This window comes from Homo sapiens, chromosome 2 (genome assembly GCF_000001405.40).
Source record: "Homo sapiens chromosome 2, GRCh38.p14 Primary Assembly".
NCBI classification, from domain to species: domain Eukaryota; kingdom Metazoa; phylum Chordata; class Mammalia; order Primates; family Hominidae; genus Homo; species Homo sapiens.
This window is the reverse complement of record NC_000002.12, coordinates 42,225,547-42,245,462: the sequence shown is the minus strand read 5'-3', so window position 1 is coordinate 42,245,462 and position 19,916 is coordinate 42,225,547. Positions and strand designations below refer to the sequence as shown.

The 19,916-nt window shown below is 38.2% G+C and overlaps 1 protein-coding gene across 8 annotated transcripts in view; it reads right to left on the bottom strand.

Moving 5' to 3' along the window:
* Positions 1–19,916, bottom strand: part of EML4 (EMAP like 4) — a 163,196-nt gene that overhangs the window by 87,086 nt on the left and 56,194 nt on the right. Inside the window, exon 1 of one of the 8 annotated variants that reach the window (XM_047443954.1) lies at positions 49–17,970. The exons of the other annotated variants lie outside the window; for them this stretch is intronic. The gene's annotated coding sequence lies outside the window, so the exon portion shown is untranslated. Of the gene's footprint in view, positions 1–48; positions 17,971–19,916 lie in introns of those variants that run through there. 8 annotated transcript variants of the gene reach the window in all.

Sequence of the window (19,916 nt, the reverse complement as noted above, 5' to 3'; positions counted from 1 at the left end):
CTTGAGAAGTAATTTCTGATTAGAAAAACCATCCCACATAAGACTTACAAAAGATGAGAAAAATTCTGGCTAGGTGAAGTGGCTCGTGCCTGTACTTCCAGAACTTTGAGGGGCCAAGAGAGGCAGATCACCTGAGGTCAGGAGTTGGAGACCAGCATGGCCAACATGGTGAAACCCCGTCTCTACTAACACCACAAAAAATTAGCCAGGCATGATGATGCGCTCCTGTAATCCCAGCTATTTGGGAGGCTGAGGCACAAGAATCATGTGAACCCCGGAGGTGGAGGGTGCAGTGAGCTGAGATTGCACCACTGCACTCTAGTCTGGGCAACAGAGCAAGAGTCTGTCTCAAAAAAAAAAAAAAAAAAGAAAGAAAATTTCAAAACAAAAAACTCCATAACATCTCATCATGTTGACACATATTAACTTCTATAAAGACTTTTATAGCTATCTTAATTTAAAATAAGTTAATAAACTTCACAAATCATTAAAATGGTGACAATTGTCCCCACGGTCAAATTTCCCCTATTTTTACAACATCATCTTAATTGGTTTTCTCACGAAAAGGCTCCCTAAATACATCATCTTGTAGACATCAGGAAACTTCCAAGACAGCAAACTATTTAACCTTTCTTAATTACATTATTATCACAGTTCTCTATGAAAACAGAAAAGGCATATAAATCACTTGTTTGGTTTTATGTATCAGATAGGGAGTCTATCACCTTAACCAACAATGATGAGGAAGCATCTTTACTACTTTACTTTTTACTATCATACTCTCCCACACCCCACAGAACTCGGTATTGCTATGTAATTAACAAAAGACCTTTTGCTGCTCCTTCTCTCCACCTAACACCACAACCTCTCTTAAAAAAAGGTTTTTATGAAGTAAATACTTAATATTTGCCTTAGGTATGTAACAGCAACAAGAGAAAGACTATTCAAATAAGGCTTAGCTATACCACAGCAATTACAAAGGACTTGCAAAGTTATGTAACTTTAGACTATACTACTGTATTTGTTGGGTCAATAAGAATCCAAACATATAGAAACATCAATTGCTGGCTGGGCGCGGTGGCTCATGCCTGTAATCCCAGCACTTTGGGAGGCTGAGGAGGGCAGATCATGAGGTCAGGAGATCGAGACCATCCTGGCCAACAAGGTGAAATCCAGTCTCTATTAAAATACAAAAAATTAGCCGGGCTTGGTGGCGTGTGCCTGTAGTCCCAGCTACTTGGGAGGCTGAGGCAGGAGAATTGCTTGAACCCAGGAGGCAAAGGTTGCAGTGAGCCGAGATCACGCCACTGCACTCCAGCCTGGCAACAGAGCAAGACCCCGTCTCAAAAAAAAAAAAAAAACAAAAAACAAAAACAAAAAACAAAAAACAAAAAAAACATTAATTGCTATTGGTTCATTCAGTATAAGCAGGAAAATTCAGGGAAATAACTAACTGTTAAAAACACCGTTGGCTTACACTGAGGGCAAGTTTTAGATTCTAATGTAAGAGCTGTTTGGACCACACTGAGATCATTTAAATGACTGTTTCAGTCATTCAGACAATAAGGCAGAATGTACTGTTTTTTTCTCACACTGAGATAATATGCTATGGAACTTAATTTAATTCAAAGTTTAAAACCACCACCACAACATTTAAAAAACCAAAGCTATCACCATTACATTATGGAACAGTAAACAATATTCATATTTCATATTTAAGATGATATACACCACCAGACCTCCCATGCATACACATGTACTCTCTTCTGTCTTTACTGGTATTTCACTGACAGTCTTATCTTTGAGACGTAGATATTGAAGGAAAAGTTGGGTTTCATCTTTAATCTAGACTTCAAATTCTGGTTCCATATTAACTAGTTACATAATCTTAGGCAAGTTCTTTGAGCATTAATTTCTTCACCTTTAAATAGGATTGTTTTAAGGAGGGTGTGCCTAGGATATGTACAAAGTACAAAAGTTACAATTTGAAAACTTTGAGCACATTTGTTACTTAAAGGCACATGTGTCCAACTCTGAGATGCTTAAGGAATGATAAGAACAATTCAGTCTCTCGCCTTAGAAATTTTTATATTTTAAGTATTTTTCACTTCCACGGTGGTCTAGCTGAATTCTAGCTGATCTATATTCTTTGTAAGTATGTTAGACTATGGTCACTATTCTTTCTACCCAAAATTCTTTCCTATTCTCCTTCTTCTCACAGGAAGAATAGCCACTCTTGTCTTTTGTGAAACTCCACCATATTTCTTGGTCCTAGTAGAGCTGTCAATCTATGATGCTTCACTTTACCCTCTGCGCCCCATACTATGAGACTGAACCATATAAAATGACCTTTTCAGTTGTATAAATATTACTACTAGAAATTTCAGCTGGACAAGGCAGGTCACGACTGTAATCCTAGCACTTAGGGAGGCCAAGGTGGGCGGATCGCTTGATCCCAGGAGTTCGAGACCAGCCTGGGCAACGTAGTGAGAACCCATGTCTACAAAAATGGAAAAAATTAGCTGGGCATGGTGGCACGTGTTTGTAGTCCCAGCTACTCAGAAAAGTGAAATGGGAGGCTCACTTAAACCCAGTCAAAGATGGGTTTAATTCAAGGATTCAGTGAGTTTTAATTACACCACTGCACTTAAACCTGGGTGACAGAGGAAGACCCTATCAGAAAGAAAAGAAAAAAGAAAAGAGAAAAAAAGAAGAGACGAGACGAGACGAGAAGAGAAGAGAAAAGAAAAGGAAAGAAAAGAAAAGAGAAAAAAGGGAAGGAAGGGAGGGAGGAAAGGAGAGAGGGAGGGAGGAAGGAAGTGAGTTAGTTAATATGGCTCAGTCTAATACTACCACAGGAGTAGTAGTCATGAGATACAGGATAGGCCAAATGAAGCCCTCTTGAATTTCCCAGAGGTAGAGTTATAGCCCATCCACCTTGGTTCTCCAGCTACCAGGATGTCACCCTAGGACTGTCAAAAATAAAGGTGGTTCTAACTACCTTGTGTTCCAGTTATACTCTCTGAAGCCTTGGCCCTTCAATTCTGAGAGCTGCTCCAATATTCCTCCCAGCTAATTATGTAACGTAATAAATTCACTTTTTGCAAGCCATTATTTGTAAACCAAAGGCCGCGATTAAGTCAGTAAACTATATGGATATATTTTTCTAAAATGTTCTCAATTCATGAAAGATGAGCTATATCTTTATATTATGACCACAGATAAAATGCTTATATGATTTTTGTAAACATATAACCTGCTTAATTATTCTGGGAAGGCAGCTGAACTACTAGATCATCAGGCTATAATGCCAAGGTTAGGGTGCTAGGTTTTAGTACCAGCTTGGTAACTTACCTTCAGCAAACTTTTACAAACTTTGATTTTTTAAAAAATGACTAAGGTGTTTAAGTTGTGTGAAACTTGGATAGTGACAAGAAAGGTGGTTCAGCTTGTAAAATTCCTACCAAACCCTGATAGACACTGTGAGACACAAGAACAATTTTTCAAAGGGCATAACATATACAAAGTTAACAATTGCCTGCATTTATATTGTGCCTTTCATATTTATTACCTCAGCTTCCCCCCCCCGACACACACACATACACACACAATCTATATTTTACACTGGAGGAAATAGCTCAAACTAAATAACTTGCTCAAGGTCACCAAACTAATCTAGGTATCTCAGACTCAAAGACAAGTCTTTTGACTCTCACCTTATGTGCCTTTTATTTTATTCTATGCTGCATTCTAACAATAATCACATGAGGACCAAACAAATACATCCTTTCACAAAGCCACGCAAGGGGCTTAAACTACTGAGTGATTTAATCCGTTTTTTGTTTCAGGAAGATCATTTTGGTCGCTGTGTGAAAATAGATTGGAACAGGATAAGAGTAAACACAAGAACAGACAGGAGGCTGTTGCAGTAACCCATGTGAAAGGTGATGATGGCCTATGTTAGGGTTAACATGTTCAAGTATCTCAGTTTCTCCAGAACAAGTATGTCTCCTATCTCAGTATAAATATTATCATAATGCCCCCTCTTTCACTCTCAAGTTCCCTGACTTGGATGATCAATTACAGGGTCACTATAGCCAAGGCAACAAGCAATGGCAATGTAACAGAGCATAGTAGTTATCACCAGAGTTCCTCACAGCTCTAATTCCTTCCTGTCTAAAATCCTGGCTCTTAACCCTTTCAGGGGCATGAATTTCTTTGAGAATTCAATAAAAGCTGTGGTAGAATAGTGCATTAACTCTGGTATTACACTGACTAAATACATCTATCTGTTTGCTTTTTTTTTTTCTTTGAGACTCACTCTGTCGACCAGGCTGGAGTGCAGTGGTGCAATCTCACTGCAACCTCCGCCTCATGGGTTCAAGAGATTCTCCTGCCTCAGATTCTATTAGCTGAGGCTCGGAGTAGCTGGGAGATTACAGAGGCGCATGCCACCACACCCAGCTAACTTTTATTTTTTTGTAGATATGGAGTTTTGCCATGTTGGTCAGGCTGGTCTCAAACTCCTGACCTCAAGGGATCTATCTGCCTGCCTTGGCCTCCCAAAGTGCTGGGATTACAGGTGTGAGCCACCACGCCCGGCCATCTGTTTGCTATTTACCAACTCTGTGACTGCTTTCTTCACGTGTAATTTACTCATGTGAACTGGTACTTACATCAGGCTTGGGATGATTAGATGAAATAATGCATGGCATGGCAATACAGGATGCTTTCAGTAAGTTGCTATCCTATAGTGATGTTCTTTATTGCACTGTTTATTATTGCCACAAAATTAGAAATGACCTGAAGTCTAAGGATGAGGTTAAATAAGCTGTAATATGTCCATACCATAGAATATCATGGAATAATTTAAAATAACAGAGTAGGAGCATAAGCTAAAAATTTGAAAAATCTACAAGATGACTTAAGTGGATAAGCAAACTGCAAAACAATATGTACTGAATAATTGATAGACACACACCAAAACACACTTTTAAAAAATTAACACAAAAAACACACATATACACACACACATATGTATATATAATGTACACAGAAAGAAGTTGTGAAGTACACACATCAAACTGGTAACTGGGTTACCTCTGGCTAGGAAGGTAAGATTAGAAAAGAGGAAATAAAAATAAATTTTTGCTTTTTAGTGTATGTATTCCTGTATTATTCGAATTTCACAATAAAAATGTGTATTAATTTATGCCCTTTAAGGTAAAATGCATTGCTTCTGAAGCTTAACTTCTTAAAACAAGTTTCCTCCAGTTACAGTGTTCCAGTGTTATAAGGAACATAGCAAAGGAGAATGCAAATAACTTAAATTTCTATCATAGATTACTAAAACAAGAACAGACACTATCTTGAAGTCCAACAACCCCTCTCATCATTTTATAAATAAGTAAACTAAGACTCTGAGACATCAGGTGAGTTACCCATGGCCACACAGCAAACGAGTCAGAGTTCCTTCCTCTGATGACTATATTATGCATTGCTCTTGTTCTTTCCATTTTGAAAACTTTGCTCTTATTTTTTTTCCCTCCCAATCTCTAAGATGCCCCCATTCTCATTCACAATAAACTAAGGGATATAACTGTTCAGTAAATGAATATATTTTCTGAGGGCTATTAACATTCCCTTTTCTTGATCAAGTAGATTAGATCATTTTCCTTACACCCCACCCCCCGCCGCCTTTATTATAGAGTAGGAGTATAAGCTAAAAATGGTAATCCCCTCCCTTTAAACATTTTTTCTAATTGCCCCCTGGTTTTTAAAAATTGTTGCCCCTTCTCAAAATAGTTTCCAGCTTTGAAGGTTAAAATATGAAATACAAATGAATTCTCAAGCATTTTTGAACTCATTAAGAAAAAAAGTAAAGAATGAAGAGAAAACGGAGATCCAGAAACCTCTCACTATCAGTCTGATCTATTTACCGGCATGAGTCAGTCTCTTTTTAGAAATACAAGGAAATCTACATGTGACTTCGTAAACTTTATAAAGTTTGAAATATTACAGTTTAAAGAATACAATGATAGCTATTCATTATGCTTTTATTACACTGAATCACAGTTAATTTTTTTCTGAACTGTTGAGAAATGTGTCACCTTTGCAAAGGTAAGTATATTGTGTTTCATTATAAATATCCAAAAGTTGGCAATCCAGTATCATATCAGAATAAGACATGCCTACACATTCTAGTACCTTTGGATTTTACCGATTTTATATCTTTCTAAAACAGAATACTTACTGTCTTGTTTTCTTAGTGGGGGCACACCATCATAATGTAACCACTTCTTGGTGACTCAGTCTTCATTTAGAATATTAATTACTACGCTGCAAGCACTGTGGTGAAATGATGCCCTAGAGGCTATTATACTTCTAATTAAATAATTGAGAACCATGGCTCAGGCCTATAATTCAGCACTTTTGAGACGTTGAGGCAGGATGATTGCGTGAGCCGAGGAGTTCAAGACCAGCCTGGGCAACCTAGGGTGACCCTGTCTCTACAAAAAAAATTAGCCAGGGGGTGGCAGCACACACCTATAGTCCCAGTCCTGAGGCAGGAGGATCACTTGAGCCTAAGAGGTCACGGCTGCAGTAAGGCATGACTGTGCCACTGCACTCAAGTCTGCGTGACAGAGCAAGACCCTGTCTTTAAAACAAATAAATAACAATTTTTTAAAAGTTAGCCAGGTGTGGTGGCACATGCTTGTAATTCAGGGGCTGAGGCAGTAGAATTGTCTGAGCCCAGTTCAAGGCTGCAGTGAGCTATAACTGCACCCTTGCACTCCAGCCTGGGCAAAAGAGTAAGACCCTATTGCCAAAAAAATAAAAAATAAAAAAATAAAAACAAAATTACATTTTTAATTTTCTTTTTTGTAGAGATGGGTCTCACAATATTGCCCAAGCTGGTCTTGAATTCCCATCCTCAAGCAATCCTCCCCTCTCAGCCTCCCAAAGTGCTGGAATTACAGGCATGAGCCACTGCACCAGACCACATTTTTGGTTTTCTAATCTTTCTTTCTACTTTTCCCCTTACCTCTTTGCAGTTGGGATTAGCTATGCCTATCCATAGCAATGCTCCCTTTCCAATCTAATTTCCTATATTATGGTACATTGAATAACTAAGCTTTTTGAACTGTTTATATGAGAAGTCTCTAAAATGAGGACCTCTTCTATTTTAAAAACATATTACAGGTTGAGTATCCCTTATCTGAATTGCTTGGTACCAGAAGTGTTTCAGGTCTCAAATTTTTCAGATTTTGGAATATCTGCATATACATAATGAGATATCTTGTGGAGGGGATCCAAGTCTAACTACAAAATTCATTTATGTTCCACTTACATCTTACATACATGTCCCGAAGGTAATTTTATACAGTATTTAAAAAATAATTTTGTGCATGAAATAAAGTGTATACTGAACTATCAGAAAACAAAGGTGTCACTATTTCAGACACCCACATGGACAACTGGTTGTTTTTTGGCATAACCATCATTCCTGACTCTGAACTTATATGCTACCAATAAGTAATCACTTTTTAAAACTTATTCATACTTAAGTACTTAACAGGAAAATGCAAGCCAACCTCTCCTCTTCCTCCTCAACCTACTCAACTCATGTTGAGTAGTTGAGATGACGAAGAGGAAGGTCTTATGACGATCCATTTTGATTTAATGAATAGTAAATGAATTTTCCTTATGACTTTCTTAATAACATTTTCTTTACTCTAGCTTACTTTATTATAAGAGTACAGCATATAATATATGTAATACACAAAAATATGTGAATCAACTTGTTACCAGTAAAGCTTCTGGTCAATAGTAGGCTATCAGTAGTCAGGTTTTTGGGGAAGCAAAAGTATACGTGGATTTTTGACTGAGCGGGAGAGGGAGGGAGTTGGCACCCCAAACCCCCATGTTATTCAAGGGTGAACCATATATTAAAGCCCATATCTCCACCACACACAAAAATAAAATCCAAGAAGATTAAAGAATTAAAGGCAAAATCATAAAATCTTTAGAAAATAACTGCAAATGTCTTCATATCCTACAAACAGGAAGGTCCAAAAAAGACACCAAAAAAACCATAAAATACTGATACTTAACTACAATGGAATTCAGATGTTTGGTCTCCAAAAGACATAATAAAGAGAGAAAGTAATCCATACACATGGGAAAGATAGCTGTAACACATAATAAATGATAAAAATTAGTATCCAGACTGGGCATGGTAGCTCATGCCCACAATCCCAGCACTTTAGGAGGCCGAGGGAGGAGGACTGCTTGAGTTCAGGAGTTCGAGACCAGCCTGGGCAACATGGCATCCCTGTCTCTACAAAAAATACAAAAATTAGCCAGACATGGTGGCACACCTGTAGTCCCAGCTACTTAGGAGGCTGAGGTGGGAGGATGACCTGAGACCAGGGAGGTTGAGACTACAAACAATTCTATAGTTAGTCAAAGGTTTTGCCAGTCTTTCTAAACACCTCATAGAAAAGGAAACATAAATGGTCAACAAACATAAAATGAGACTCAAGCACCTCATTAATAATCTTGGAAAGGAAAATTGAAACCATCCAAAATACTATCTTATGCGTACCAGACTGGCCAAAAACGTAAAGTGTGACAACATACAGTGTTCCCAAAGATATGGAGGGATACAAGCTCTCCAACATCACTGGTAGAAAGTGACCTGTTTCAATGACTTTAGGGGGAAAAAAAACCTTGGCAATATCTAGTAAAACTGAAGACACACACATCCTATGACCCAGCAATTCCACTGTGTTACCCTAACCTAAAGTAGGAGTCAACAAACTTTTCTGTAAAGGGGAAAATAGTTAAATATTTTAGGCTTTGCAGACCACACAGTCTGTGGAGCAAACTACTCAGATGTGCCTTTGTAACACAAAAACAGCTAGAAATATGTATATGAATGGGTGTGGCTATGTTCCAATAAAACTTCATTTAATAAAACTTCATTTATAAAACAGGTGGCCTCCCAGGCAGTCTCCCAGTCTCTGTTCTAGAGAAACTCCTGCAGACATACATACATCAAAAGACATGTCCAAGAATATTCACAGCAGCATAGTTCATCATAAAAACAAATTGGAAACAACCTAAATATCTATCAATTGTAAAACGGGTAAATTGTGATATTAACAACCAACAGAATATCAGAATAGTAAAAGTAAACTATGGCGATGTGCAACATCATTTTGAATCTCAGGAACATGATGAATGTAAAGAGCAAGTCAGGTGAAATTTATATAAAGTTCAAAAACATACAAAAGTAAATAATACAATGTTTAGAATAAAACTACTGAAAAACCAAGGGAATGATATACACAAAATTTATGACAATAGTTACTTCTGATGGTTGTATGACAGAGGATAGGACAGTGAGACACTCACACATAATGGAACATCTACGTGATTAAAACATGTATTGTAACTTTTTAGGGAGGGGGAGGGAAGTTCAGTGATGTTTCTCTTCTGTAAAAGTAGATGGGGGATATGATAACTGGTCTACATAACTGATTTATTCACTTTATTCTTTGGAGAACAATGAATCCATTTTTTGTGAATTAAGTTCCAAAACAAAAATGAAGTTGTATTTCTAAGAACCCTGGGGTTTTGTGGCATAAAAACAACTATACTAGATGGTCTTTATGACAGTTTTGAGGCCTAATAGTATGACTCTAAGATTAATTATCTACAAACCTAAGGAAAAAAACAGTCCTTCATTTCAAAAAGTTACATGATATGAGATATAATATCATCCCAAGAACAAATAAGTTGTTAAAAAATTTGAAATAGTCTCTGATCTCCCCTTCCTAAAGCACTTATGCTGAGATACTGTGCAGCCCTTATAGGTTAGAATGGTAATGGCAGAAGATTAGGTTAGATTAGAGAAGCTAACGTTGAGTGAAGACCATGAGAAACTAGTAACAATACCACACACTGTGTATAGTGTTTTTGTTTTGTTTGTTTTGAGACACAGTCTGGCTCTGTTGCCCAGGCTGGAGTACGGTGGCATGATCTCAGCTCACTGCAACCTCTGCCTCCCAGGCTGCTCAAGTAATTCTCGCGCCTTAGCCTCCTGAGTAGCTGGGATTACAGGTGCACGCCACCATGCTCTGCTACTTTTTTTTTTTTTTTGAGATGGAGTTTCGCTCTTGTCACCCAGACTGAGTGCGGTGGTGCGATCTCGGCTCACTGCAACCTCTGCCTCCCGGGTTCAAGCGATTCTCCTGCATTAGCCTCCCGGGTAGCTGGGATTACAAGCACCTGCAAGCACACCCGGCTAATTTCTGTACTTTTAATAGAGACGGGATCTCACCATGTTGGCCAGGCTTGTCTCAAACTGCTGACCTCAGGTGATACACCCACCTCAGCCTCCCAAAGTGCTGGGATTACAGGCATGAGCCACCATGCCTGACCCGCTAATTTTTGTATTTTTAGTAGAGATGGGGTTTCGCCACGTTGGCCAGGCTGGCCTTGAACTCCTGGCCTCCAGTGATCCACCCGCCTTGGCCTCCCAAAGTGTTGGGATTACAAGGCATGAGCCACAGTGCCCGGCCTAGATAATTGTTTTTGATGATGTTTTTTGGTTAGAGTTCACAAAAGTAAAAGTCAAGCTTAATTATACAATTTCTGATGTATTATTAAGACAGGCACTTTTAAATTATTTTCCATTAAAAGCTGCTGTTTTATATACATGACCATCTTTTTTCACAGAGAACAAGAACAAGCTGAGCAAAACCCACCCTGTCCTCTCAACAGGAATATATTTGTTTATAAAGTAAGTAGTTTTAAGTACTTTATACAAGTGTGTAGGCAAATGTTTATCACATTACTGACACATATATTTACAGGGAGAAGGGGGCTAATGGAGGGAGCAAGGAATCTAGATTCATTCCCAAGTCCTCAGACTTCTTTTGTCACAAGTTTGTGAGACAGGTCTGAACTCACAGGAATGGAGAGATAGTTTACCTGGTCAGAAATTCTTAAGGGTAGAGGAACCCCACACTGAAGCGAGACAAGGCAAGCTGTCTTCCGTTCCCACCACCGATGTTGTAAGCAATATAAACCAGTTCTGTCTGCGTAGGAATACCACCTTCCCAGATAGTTTCAAAGCAAATCTCAGCTCTCTAGATCTCACAACATACTTTACATTCCGAGGAAATCCTCTCAGTCCAGATGGCCTACCACACAAACTACTTCTATGTTGGCAAAAATAAAACTTAAGATAGCTCTTCTCCTGCCCTTTTGCTCTCTGAACTAAAGAAAGTGTTCTATTTTATAAAAGGGGACAAACTGAAGGACAGTGAGCACACAACACACAGGCAAAAGCAGGCAGGATACAGACAAAAAACCTGGGCTGCTTTGAGGAGTGGCTAAACCCTAGGCAGCAGAAAAGCATGAATTAATGCACTATGCAAATATTCACTAAAATTATTTGGTTGCCCTTTGGCACTACTTTTCGGATCTTCTTTAAACTGGTTAACAATAAGGTACTATTGCTTAGAGCTTAAAGTCCCCAAAGTAAGTATTTTTCCTAGTAGGAAATAAAATAAACAATGTGTATACAAAGTAGCAAGTCATATTTCCTTTTTCCTTTTGTTTTATTTAAAATACAATGAAATCCACATGAATTGTAACAAAACTAAAGGAATTATCACTTTTCATTGATTTTTAAAACCAAAATATTAAGATATTAAGATTCATTATAAACATTTTGCTAAGTTAATGAATATAATTAACAATGAGAATCATTTTTCTTAACTAAGTTTCCAAGTTGTTTGAAAATATTAACTGCAGTACTAGCATTAAGAAACCTGTAATAGGGGCTGGGTGCGGTGGCTCAAGCCTGTAATCCCAGCACTTTGGGAGGCTGAGGCAGGCGGATCATGAGGTCAGGAGATTGAGACCACCCTGGCTAACATGGTGAAACCCCGTCTCTACTAAAAATAAAAAAAAAATTGGCTGGGCATGGTGGCGGGTGCCTATAGTCCCAGCTACTGGGGAGGCTGAGGCAGGAGAATGGTGTGAACCTGGGAGGCAGAGCTTGCAGGGAGCTGAGATCGCGCCACTGCACTCCAGCCTGGGCGACAGAGTGAGACTCCATTAAAAAAAAAAAAAAAAGAAAGAAACCTGTAATAACAAACAATTTATCTCTTTTTGTTGCTTTTAAGCTTTACATTTGCACTTTATAAATTTAAACCAACTCAAAATAAAACATTAACAACATAACAGCTATAAACACACATGCACCAAAAACTGCTGTGAAGGGATGAAACCTAAACCAAACTAAATGTGAGGAGTTATGAACATGAAGAGATTGATCTAAGGATAAACTAACAGCAAAAGCTGATAAAAGACATTGGAATGAGGCAAAATGATCCAGATTAATACTTACAAAAGGCCTTCACAGGCCAGGCACAGCGGCTCACACCTGTAATCCCAGCACTTTGGGCGGGTGAGGCAGGGGGATCACGAGGTCAGATGGAGACCATCCTGGCTAACACGGTGAAACCCCATCTCTACTAAAAAATAAAAAAAATTAGCCGCGCGTTGTGGCGGGCGCCTGTAGTCCCAGCTACTAGGGAGGCTGAGGCAGGAGAATGGCATGAACTCGGGAGGCGGAGCTTGCAGTGAGCCGAAATCCGTGCCACTGCACTCCAGCCTGGGCGACACAGCCAGACTCCGTCTCAAAAAAACAAAAACAAAAACAAAACAAAAAGGCCTTTACAGAAAAGTAGAAGCCATCAAAAGAGTGTTTCTACAAGTAAGACTCAGGAAAGCACTTCTCTTTTGATTAATACCTGGTACAGATTCATCAAAGTATAGGAGTTACTTGAAAGATTAACAGGAGTGAGGTGGGTTGGGGAATATATAATGTGTTTGAAACATTACAGGCTAGGAAGGAATTCAAATTCTTGCTATTGACTGGTGAGAGGCTTGAAAGCAGATTGTATGTCGTTATACTTGAATCACCAGACAAATGTAAGGCTGTAGTTTTATAATTCAGGTGTCAACTATACTCTTCTTTACAATAAATGGACCCAAATTAAATGATTGCTTAGAGGTTCCTAAGGTTAGAAGGGCTGCCAAAAAGTTCTGTAACAAAGTGCTTTCTAATTAGCATATAACAAAAAAGGTCCTCTTGCACATCAAAGTATATAGGGCTTTTTTTCCCACCACCTCCCACTTGTGCAGTGCATTACTAATTTGTATATTATGTACCCTGGCCATTTCTTTCTTCTCAAATCGAAATCTAATTTCAGGGAAAAAGCTTGTGAGACCCAGTCTCAGCTGTTTCTATGATTAAGAATCATCTTCTCTCTTTTCTGTTACAGTCAAATCTCTTTTTCAAAACTCCTATTCATCCAGATATTTGAGTACTACTGTATATAAAAAATTTTCAAAGTGCTGAGAATTTAAAAAAAAAATTACTGCCAGAAATTTATCTACCAGAAATTAGAAATAAATAATTTTTTTTTTTTGAGACGGAGTCTCACTCTGTTGCCCAGGCTGGAATGCAGTGGCTTGATCTTGGCTCACTGCAAGCTCTGCCTCCCGGGTTCACGCCATTCTCCCACCTCAGCCTCCTGAGTAGCTGGGACTAAAGGTGCCCGCCATGACGCCTGGCTAATTTTCTGTATATTTAGTAGAGACAGGGTTTCACCATATTAGCCAGGATGGTCTCGATCTCCTGACCTCGTGATCCACCCACCTTGGCCTCCCAAAGTGCTGGGACTACAGGTGTGAGCCACAGTGCCCAGCCATAAAGGGATAATTTTAATAGATGATACTCAAGACAGAATTGATGGAATATGGTCATTGATTACATAAGAGGATAAAAAGTACAGGAAGATCCCTGTTTTTCTATTTGGATGACTGAATAAATGGTTCAATAACATGCACTGATAGAGAACAAAGGAAAAAAAACAGTGTGGGGAATGAGGGAGCAGAAAGATGTGTGGTTTTGGATCTGCTGAGTTTGAGGTCATTATAACAAAAGTATAACTAGGTCTTGGGCTTAAGATAGAGGCCTGAATTAGAGATTACACTTCGGAGCTTTATTAGGACATATCTGATAACTGGAGTTGTGAGAATTGATGACTTGGAGTGAGAAAGGAATAGGGCCAAAGTTATCCAGCAGAGAAGACAGAATAAAAACTGTCAGAAAGCTAGTCATAGGTTCAGGAAAGGAGACATAATGTTAGACTGCAAAGATATCAAAAGACAATGACTAAAAATGGTCCATCTGATTTGGCCAGTATTAAGGAATCTTTACCAGAGAAGTTTCAGTGGAGTCATGGGAACAGAAGCATAACTGCAATGCACTGAAGTGAGGCTGGGAGGTAAGGCAGTCTTTTAAGGAATGTGATTGAAGATGGAAAGGGTTTAACCAGACGGGGGTGAAGAGAGTGTCTGCAAAGCTGACAGTGGTGTTTTTATTTAAATGTAAGAGTAATAGATTTACAGGGTTGAGGGAAGGAACCAACAGAGTTATTTATACTAACACGTAAGGACATGGAGCAGAGCTCCAGCGTTAGAGATGTGAAGGGCTAAAATAGAAAAAACAAGACAAAGAATGAGCCTTTTCTGAGAAGAGATACTTTTATCTAAGAATGAAGGGAAGAAGATGAGAGGAGGTGAAGATATTTGTCTTTCTACCTAATTTTTCTGTAAAGCAGGAGACACAGTGCCCTGCTGAGAAGACCTGGTTAAAGAGCTTGAGCTGGCTGGGCACGGTGGCTCACGCCTGTAATCCCAGCACTTTCGGAGGCTGAGGTGGAGGGATCGCCTGAGGTCAGGAGTTTGAGACCAGCCTGGCCAACATGACAAAACCCCATCTCTACTAAAAATAAAAAATTAGCTGGGGATGGTGGCACACACCTGTAGTCCCAGCTACTAGGGAGGCTGAGGCAGGAGAATCACTTGAACCTGGGAGGCGGAGGTTACAGTGAGCCAAGATTGCAACACTGTACTCTAGCCTGTGCAACAGTAAAAGACTCTGTCTCAAAAAAATAAATAAATAAAATAAAAAATAAGAGGTTGAGCTAATAGGTAAGTGTGGAATTGTATATACCACACAACTCATAATATTGTAGGATATTGTTAATTATCTTTTAATAAAGTTACATTTAAAATTCCTAACTAGATTGTAAAACCCTCTGGGGAAGAAGCTATTTTTCATTTTCCTCTACACCTGCAAAGCATCACACTTTGCAATAACTCTCCAAACAGTGGTTGATTTGTTGTGGTTGTGCTTCAGAATAAGCAGCAAAGACAGGATAAAACAGGGAATGAAAAAAAGACACTTATTAGTTTGGTGACATGCATAGGACTAGGGGTTGCTTTAGAAGATAAGAACCCCCTTTATTAGAAGTTTCGTGTAGCTGAGGGGGAATCTGGAAGAAGCAAATTTAGCCAATAATTGCATGATAGAAAAGATCGGTATCTCTCTCCTCTTCCCTCACCATCTAGTATTTCTTCCTTTTTATGGTTTTTTTCTTTCTCTGAATATCCCCTTTCCTTTCTTGTACCTGGATTTTGAGGCTATCTATCTTCCTGCCCTCCTTTCCCCTCTGCCAGGATATGACCAAAATTAAGTATATTTTTGTTATTCCTATCAGTTTTAGAGATTTAGCCCAACCAAGAGGTCAGATGTTCTCGCATTAGTGGGCCTCAACCAAGACTCTAGATTTATTTTGCTAGAGTTTTCCTCTTACTATTTTTTATAAGCAAATGAGCTAAATGCTTTTATTTCTTACCCAAGAAAAAAAATCTACTTTACTTCCCTCCCTGATTCCTCTGACAAACTCAGTATTTACATGTATTTAGCCCTAAACTCACTCACTCACATTTCTTTTATTTTTCTCTCTCGTGGTGAATGGGTGACTCTTGCAAGACAGTTATCTGTCTTGCTTTATGAAAAAATTCTCTACCATTTAATATTTTACTAACATAACTGTTCCTGGAATACAAAGTTCATGTGTAAGCTAAAAACTTACTTAATATGCATATGGTGCTTAAGAGCACAGTGCTGGATTTAGACTGTCTGGGATTTAAAAACTGGCTTCATCATTTAGTAACTATATACCCAGGCAAGTTTCTTAACTTCTTCATGCCTCAGATTCTCCATCTTTAAAATGAAGCTAAGAACATCTAGATGACATATAAAGTTATAGAAAATTAAATTAGATAAATTAAACAGCATGTAAAAACAACAAATAGTGAAATTTTCCTTTTTATAAATGTTAGCTACTACTATAATCATCATAAGATTCCAATACAAAGGTCTGCTAAACCCACACCTAGATCACCTTAATCCTTAAGGATGAGTAACATTTGCAGTCAGGTACCTAGGGTACACGATCAAAGTTTTACTAAAACTTAGTTTCTAATACATTAGCAGAAAGAGATACTATATTTTACTGATTTGTTTACTCACTAAATTTCATTTAATCATCAGAAAATTAAAAATGGACTAAATTGGAATTAGCAGGAGACAGTGAAAACAACACAAAGATATATGTTATTTATTTGATAATCATTTTTAACATTAAGTGACCTTCTAATTATTAATACATACCATGCATTGTTAGGATTTAAATAAGACTGTTTCCTAACCCTAGCAAGCATTGTGGGGGAGAGAAGAAGGTAAATAAATAAATAAAATAAAGTACAATACAACACTTGTCCTGACAGATATATACAGAAAATTGTAGAACTCACAGAAAGTCAGTCAATTTTTACCAGGAGAGAAAAGAATGAAAGCCTGGTCTCTGGAGCAAGTTATTTCTCTGTTAAAAGCAAAATACTCATGAGAAATTTTTTAAAGCAGTGCCATTTTAAGAGCTCACTATGTAGGCCTATAAAACATTACAAGCAAAGCTATACCTTCTGAATTATAAGACTACAGCTATATTCCAAATGATATAAGTATTGAATACTAAATTTTAAATGACAAGCTCTAAGAACATGATGTTTTAGCCTATTTCAAATAAAAAAGAAGGCAGAGAAAGACCCAGAGGAAATCTATCAATCAACCACAAGCTATATCAGCAAAACTCATCAACTTCATTCCTAAAACTATGTCGATCCTTGAGCAATGTAGGGGTTAGGGGTGCTGACCACCCACTCATTTTTCTATGAGGAGAATTCTTTCTACTCTCTTAGCAATTTTCAAGTATATAAATCCATGTATACTTTTTTTTTTTTTGAGACAGAGTCTCTCCCTGTCACCCAGGCTGGAGTGCAGTGGCATAATCTTGGCTCACTGCAACCTTGGCCTCCCAGGCTCAAGCAATTCTCATACCTCAGCCTCCTGAGTAGCTGGGATTATAGGTGCGTGACACCATGTCCAGCTAATTTTTTGTATTTTTTGTAGAGATGGGGTTTCACCATGTTGGCCAGGCTGCTTCTGTACTCCTGACCTCAAGTAATCCGCCCACCTTGGCCTCCCAAAGTGTTGGGATTACAGGTGTGAGCCACTGTGCCCGGCCTATGTATAATTTTTGACTCCCTACAAACTTAACTATTAATAGCCTGCGGTTGACCGGAAGCCTTACTGATAACAAACAGTTGATTAACACATATTTTGTATGTTATATATATTCTATAGTTTTATAAGGTGATATGTTAAAAAAATCATGAGAAAATATATTCACTATTCATTAAGTGGAAATGGATGTTCATAAAAGTCTTCAGCTTTGCTGTTTTCATGCTGCATAGGCAGAGGAGGAGGAAGGGGGCGGGGTTGTTCTTGCTGCCTTAGGGGTGGCAGAGGCAGCAGAAAATCCTTATATAAGTGGACCCACACAGTTCAAACCTGTGTTGTTCAAGGGTCAACTGTATTTGAAGGGCATATATATTGCAATATGTCACACAAAATTGAGTTGCTGGACCAGAAGCAAATTTAAAGTTTTTCTTTGTGGAAGAGGGGTGGTTTAAAAAAAAAAAAAAAAAAGCCTTAACAGGCTCATATTAATTTTGAAAGCAGGTAGGATGTAATTCTTTAAAAAAATAAGAATGGAGGCTGGGCACAGTGGTTCATGCCAGTAATCCCAGCACTTTGCGGGGCTGAGGTGGGAGCATTGCTTGAGGCCAGCATGAGCAACATAGTGAGAACCCCATCTCTACAAAATTAAAAATTAAAAAAAACCAGGTGTATGCCAGTAGTCTCAGCCAGCTACTTGGGGCAGGCTGTGGGGGCTGAGGTGGAAGGATCTCTTGAATCTGGGAGGTCAAGGCTGCAGTGAGCCACAACTGTGCCACTGCACTCCAGCTGGGCAACAGAGCGAGATCTTACCTCAAGGGGAAAAAAAAAGAAAAAGAATGAACATCATTTCACATGCACATAAAACTGAAAGTGGAAAAAAGTCTGGATTAAACAAGTTCAGTACAAGGCTCAACAAAATCTTGCTTTCCTTTTGAGAGGATTCCCTTTGTTGAATTTCATGGAAATTTTGTGGGATACTGCTACTATAATCAAAATTTATATATATATTTCTAGAAGTAAGCAGTTCTTTTATTTTTTAATCTCATTTCACATTTTTAAATTTACTTTTTAATTGACAAGTAAAAGTTGTATATATTTATGGTGTATAACATGATACTGTGATACATGTAAATACTGTGGAATGGCTAAGTCAGACTACTTAACATATGCATTATCTCACGTAGCATTTTTCTATGAGGAGAAAGAACATTTAAAAATCTACTCTCTTAGCAATTTTCAAGTATGTAATTTATTTTATTTATTTTATTTTATTTTATTTTATTTTGAGACAGAGTCTTACTCTGTTGCCCAGGCTGGAGTGCAATGGCACGATCTCACCTCACAGCAACCTGCGCCTCCCAGGTTCAAGTGATTCTCCTGCCTCAGCCTCCCGAGTGGCTGGGATTACGGGAATGCACCATCACGCCCAACTAATTTTGTATTTTTAGTAGAGACAGGGTTTCACCATGTTGGCCAGGATGGTCTCGATCTCCTGACCTCATGATCCGCCCGCCTCGGCCTCCCAAAGTGCTGGGTTTACAGCCATGAGCCACCACGCCCGGCCCATAATTTATTTTTTTATTAACTGTAAAAACTATGATTTACAATAGATCTCTTCAACTTATTCCTCCCATCTAACTGAAATTTTGTGTCTTCTGGCCAACATCTCCCCAATCCCTGTCCCTTCAGTGTCATGGCTAAGAATTACATGAGTATGTATATTTTTATCTCAGAATTTAAGTGTATCTGGAAGATCTAATAGATTCAATCTACTATAAATGACTATCATACCAAGAAAAGACTGGTAACTATTTTTCTAGTCCACTTACAAATGTGTCTACGGCATGAACAATGGAAGATCCAATACATTATTTTACCATAAAGGTATGAGTAACACATTTTTTGCACAATTAGAGCTCATTTGTTATTTAATTTGGGTAGCATTATTTCCTTAAAAATAAAACAAATTTTTAGATGTTTGTAAAATATTTATACATTTTACATTTATTGAGTGACTAATTTGCCAGGAACTATGTTAAATCCCAAGGACATAAATTCAACTTGCTTTCTTCTCACTTCAAAAAACAAGTTTTTAAATTTCTGAAAAATTGAGAAAATTAACATATGTAAGAAATATGTCAATATTGCCTATAAAGCAATAAAAAAACACATCAATCCAATAGAAAAATGCAAAAAAGACATGACTAGGCAAACTTCTATCTGCAGGGAGGGAAGAAGGGTGGATCAAGCTCACTAGTAATTAGGCACATGCCAATTAAAATCACAAAATACTATTTCACACATCCTTGGATAAAAAATGTAAATAAAGTCTGGCAACGTTAGTTGGATTTAGAGCATCAGAACTTTTATACATTCTGAAGGGAAGTATATATTG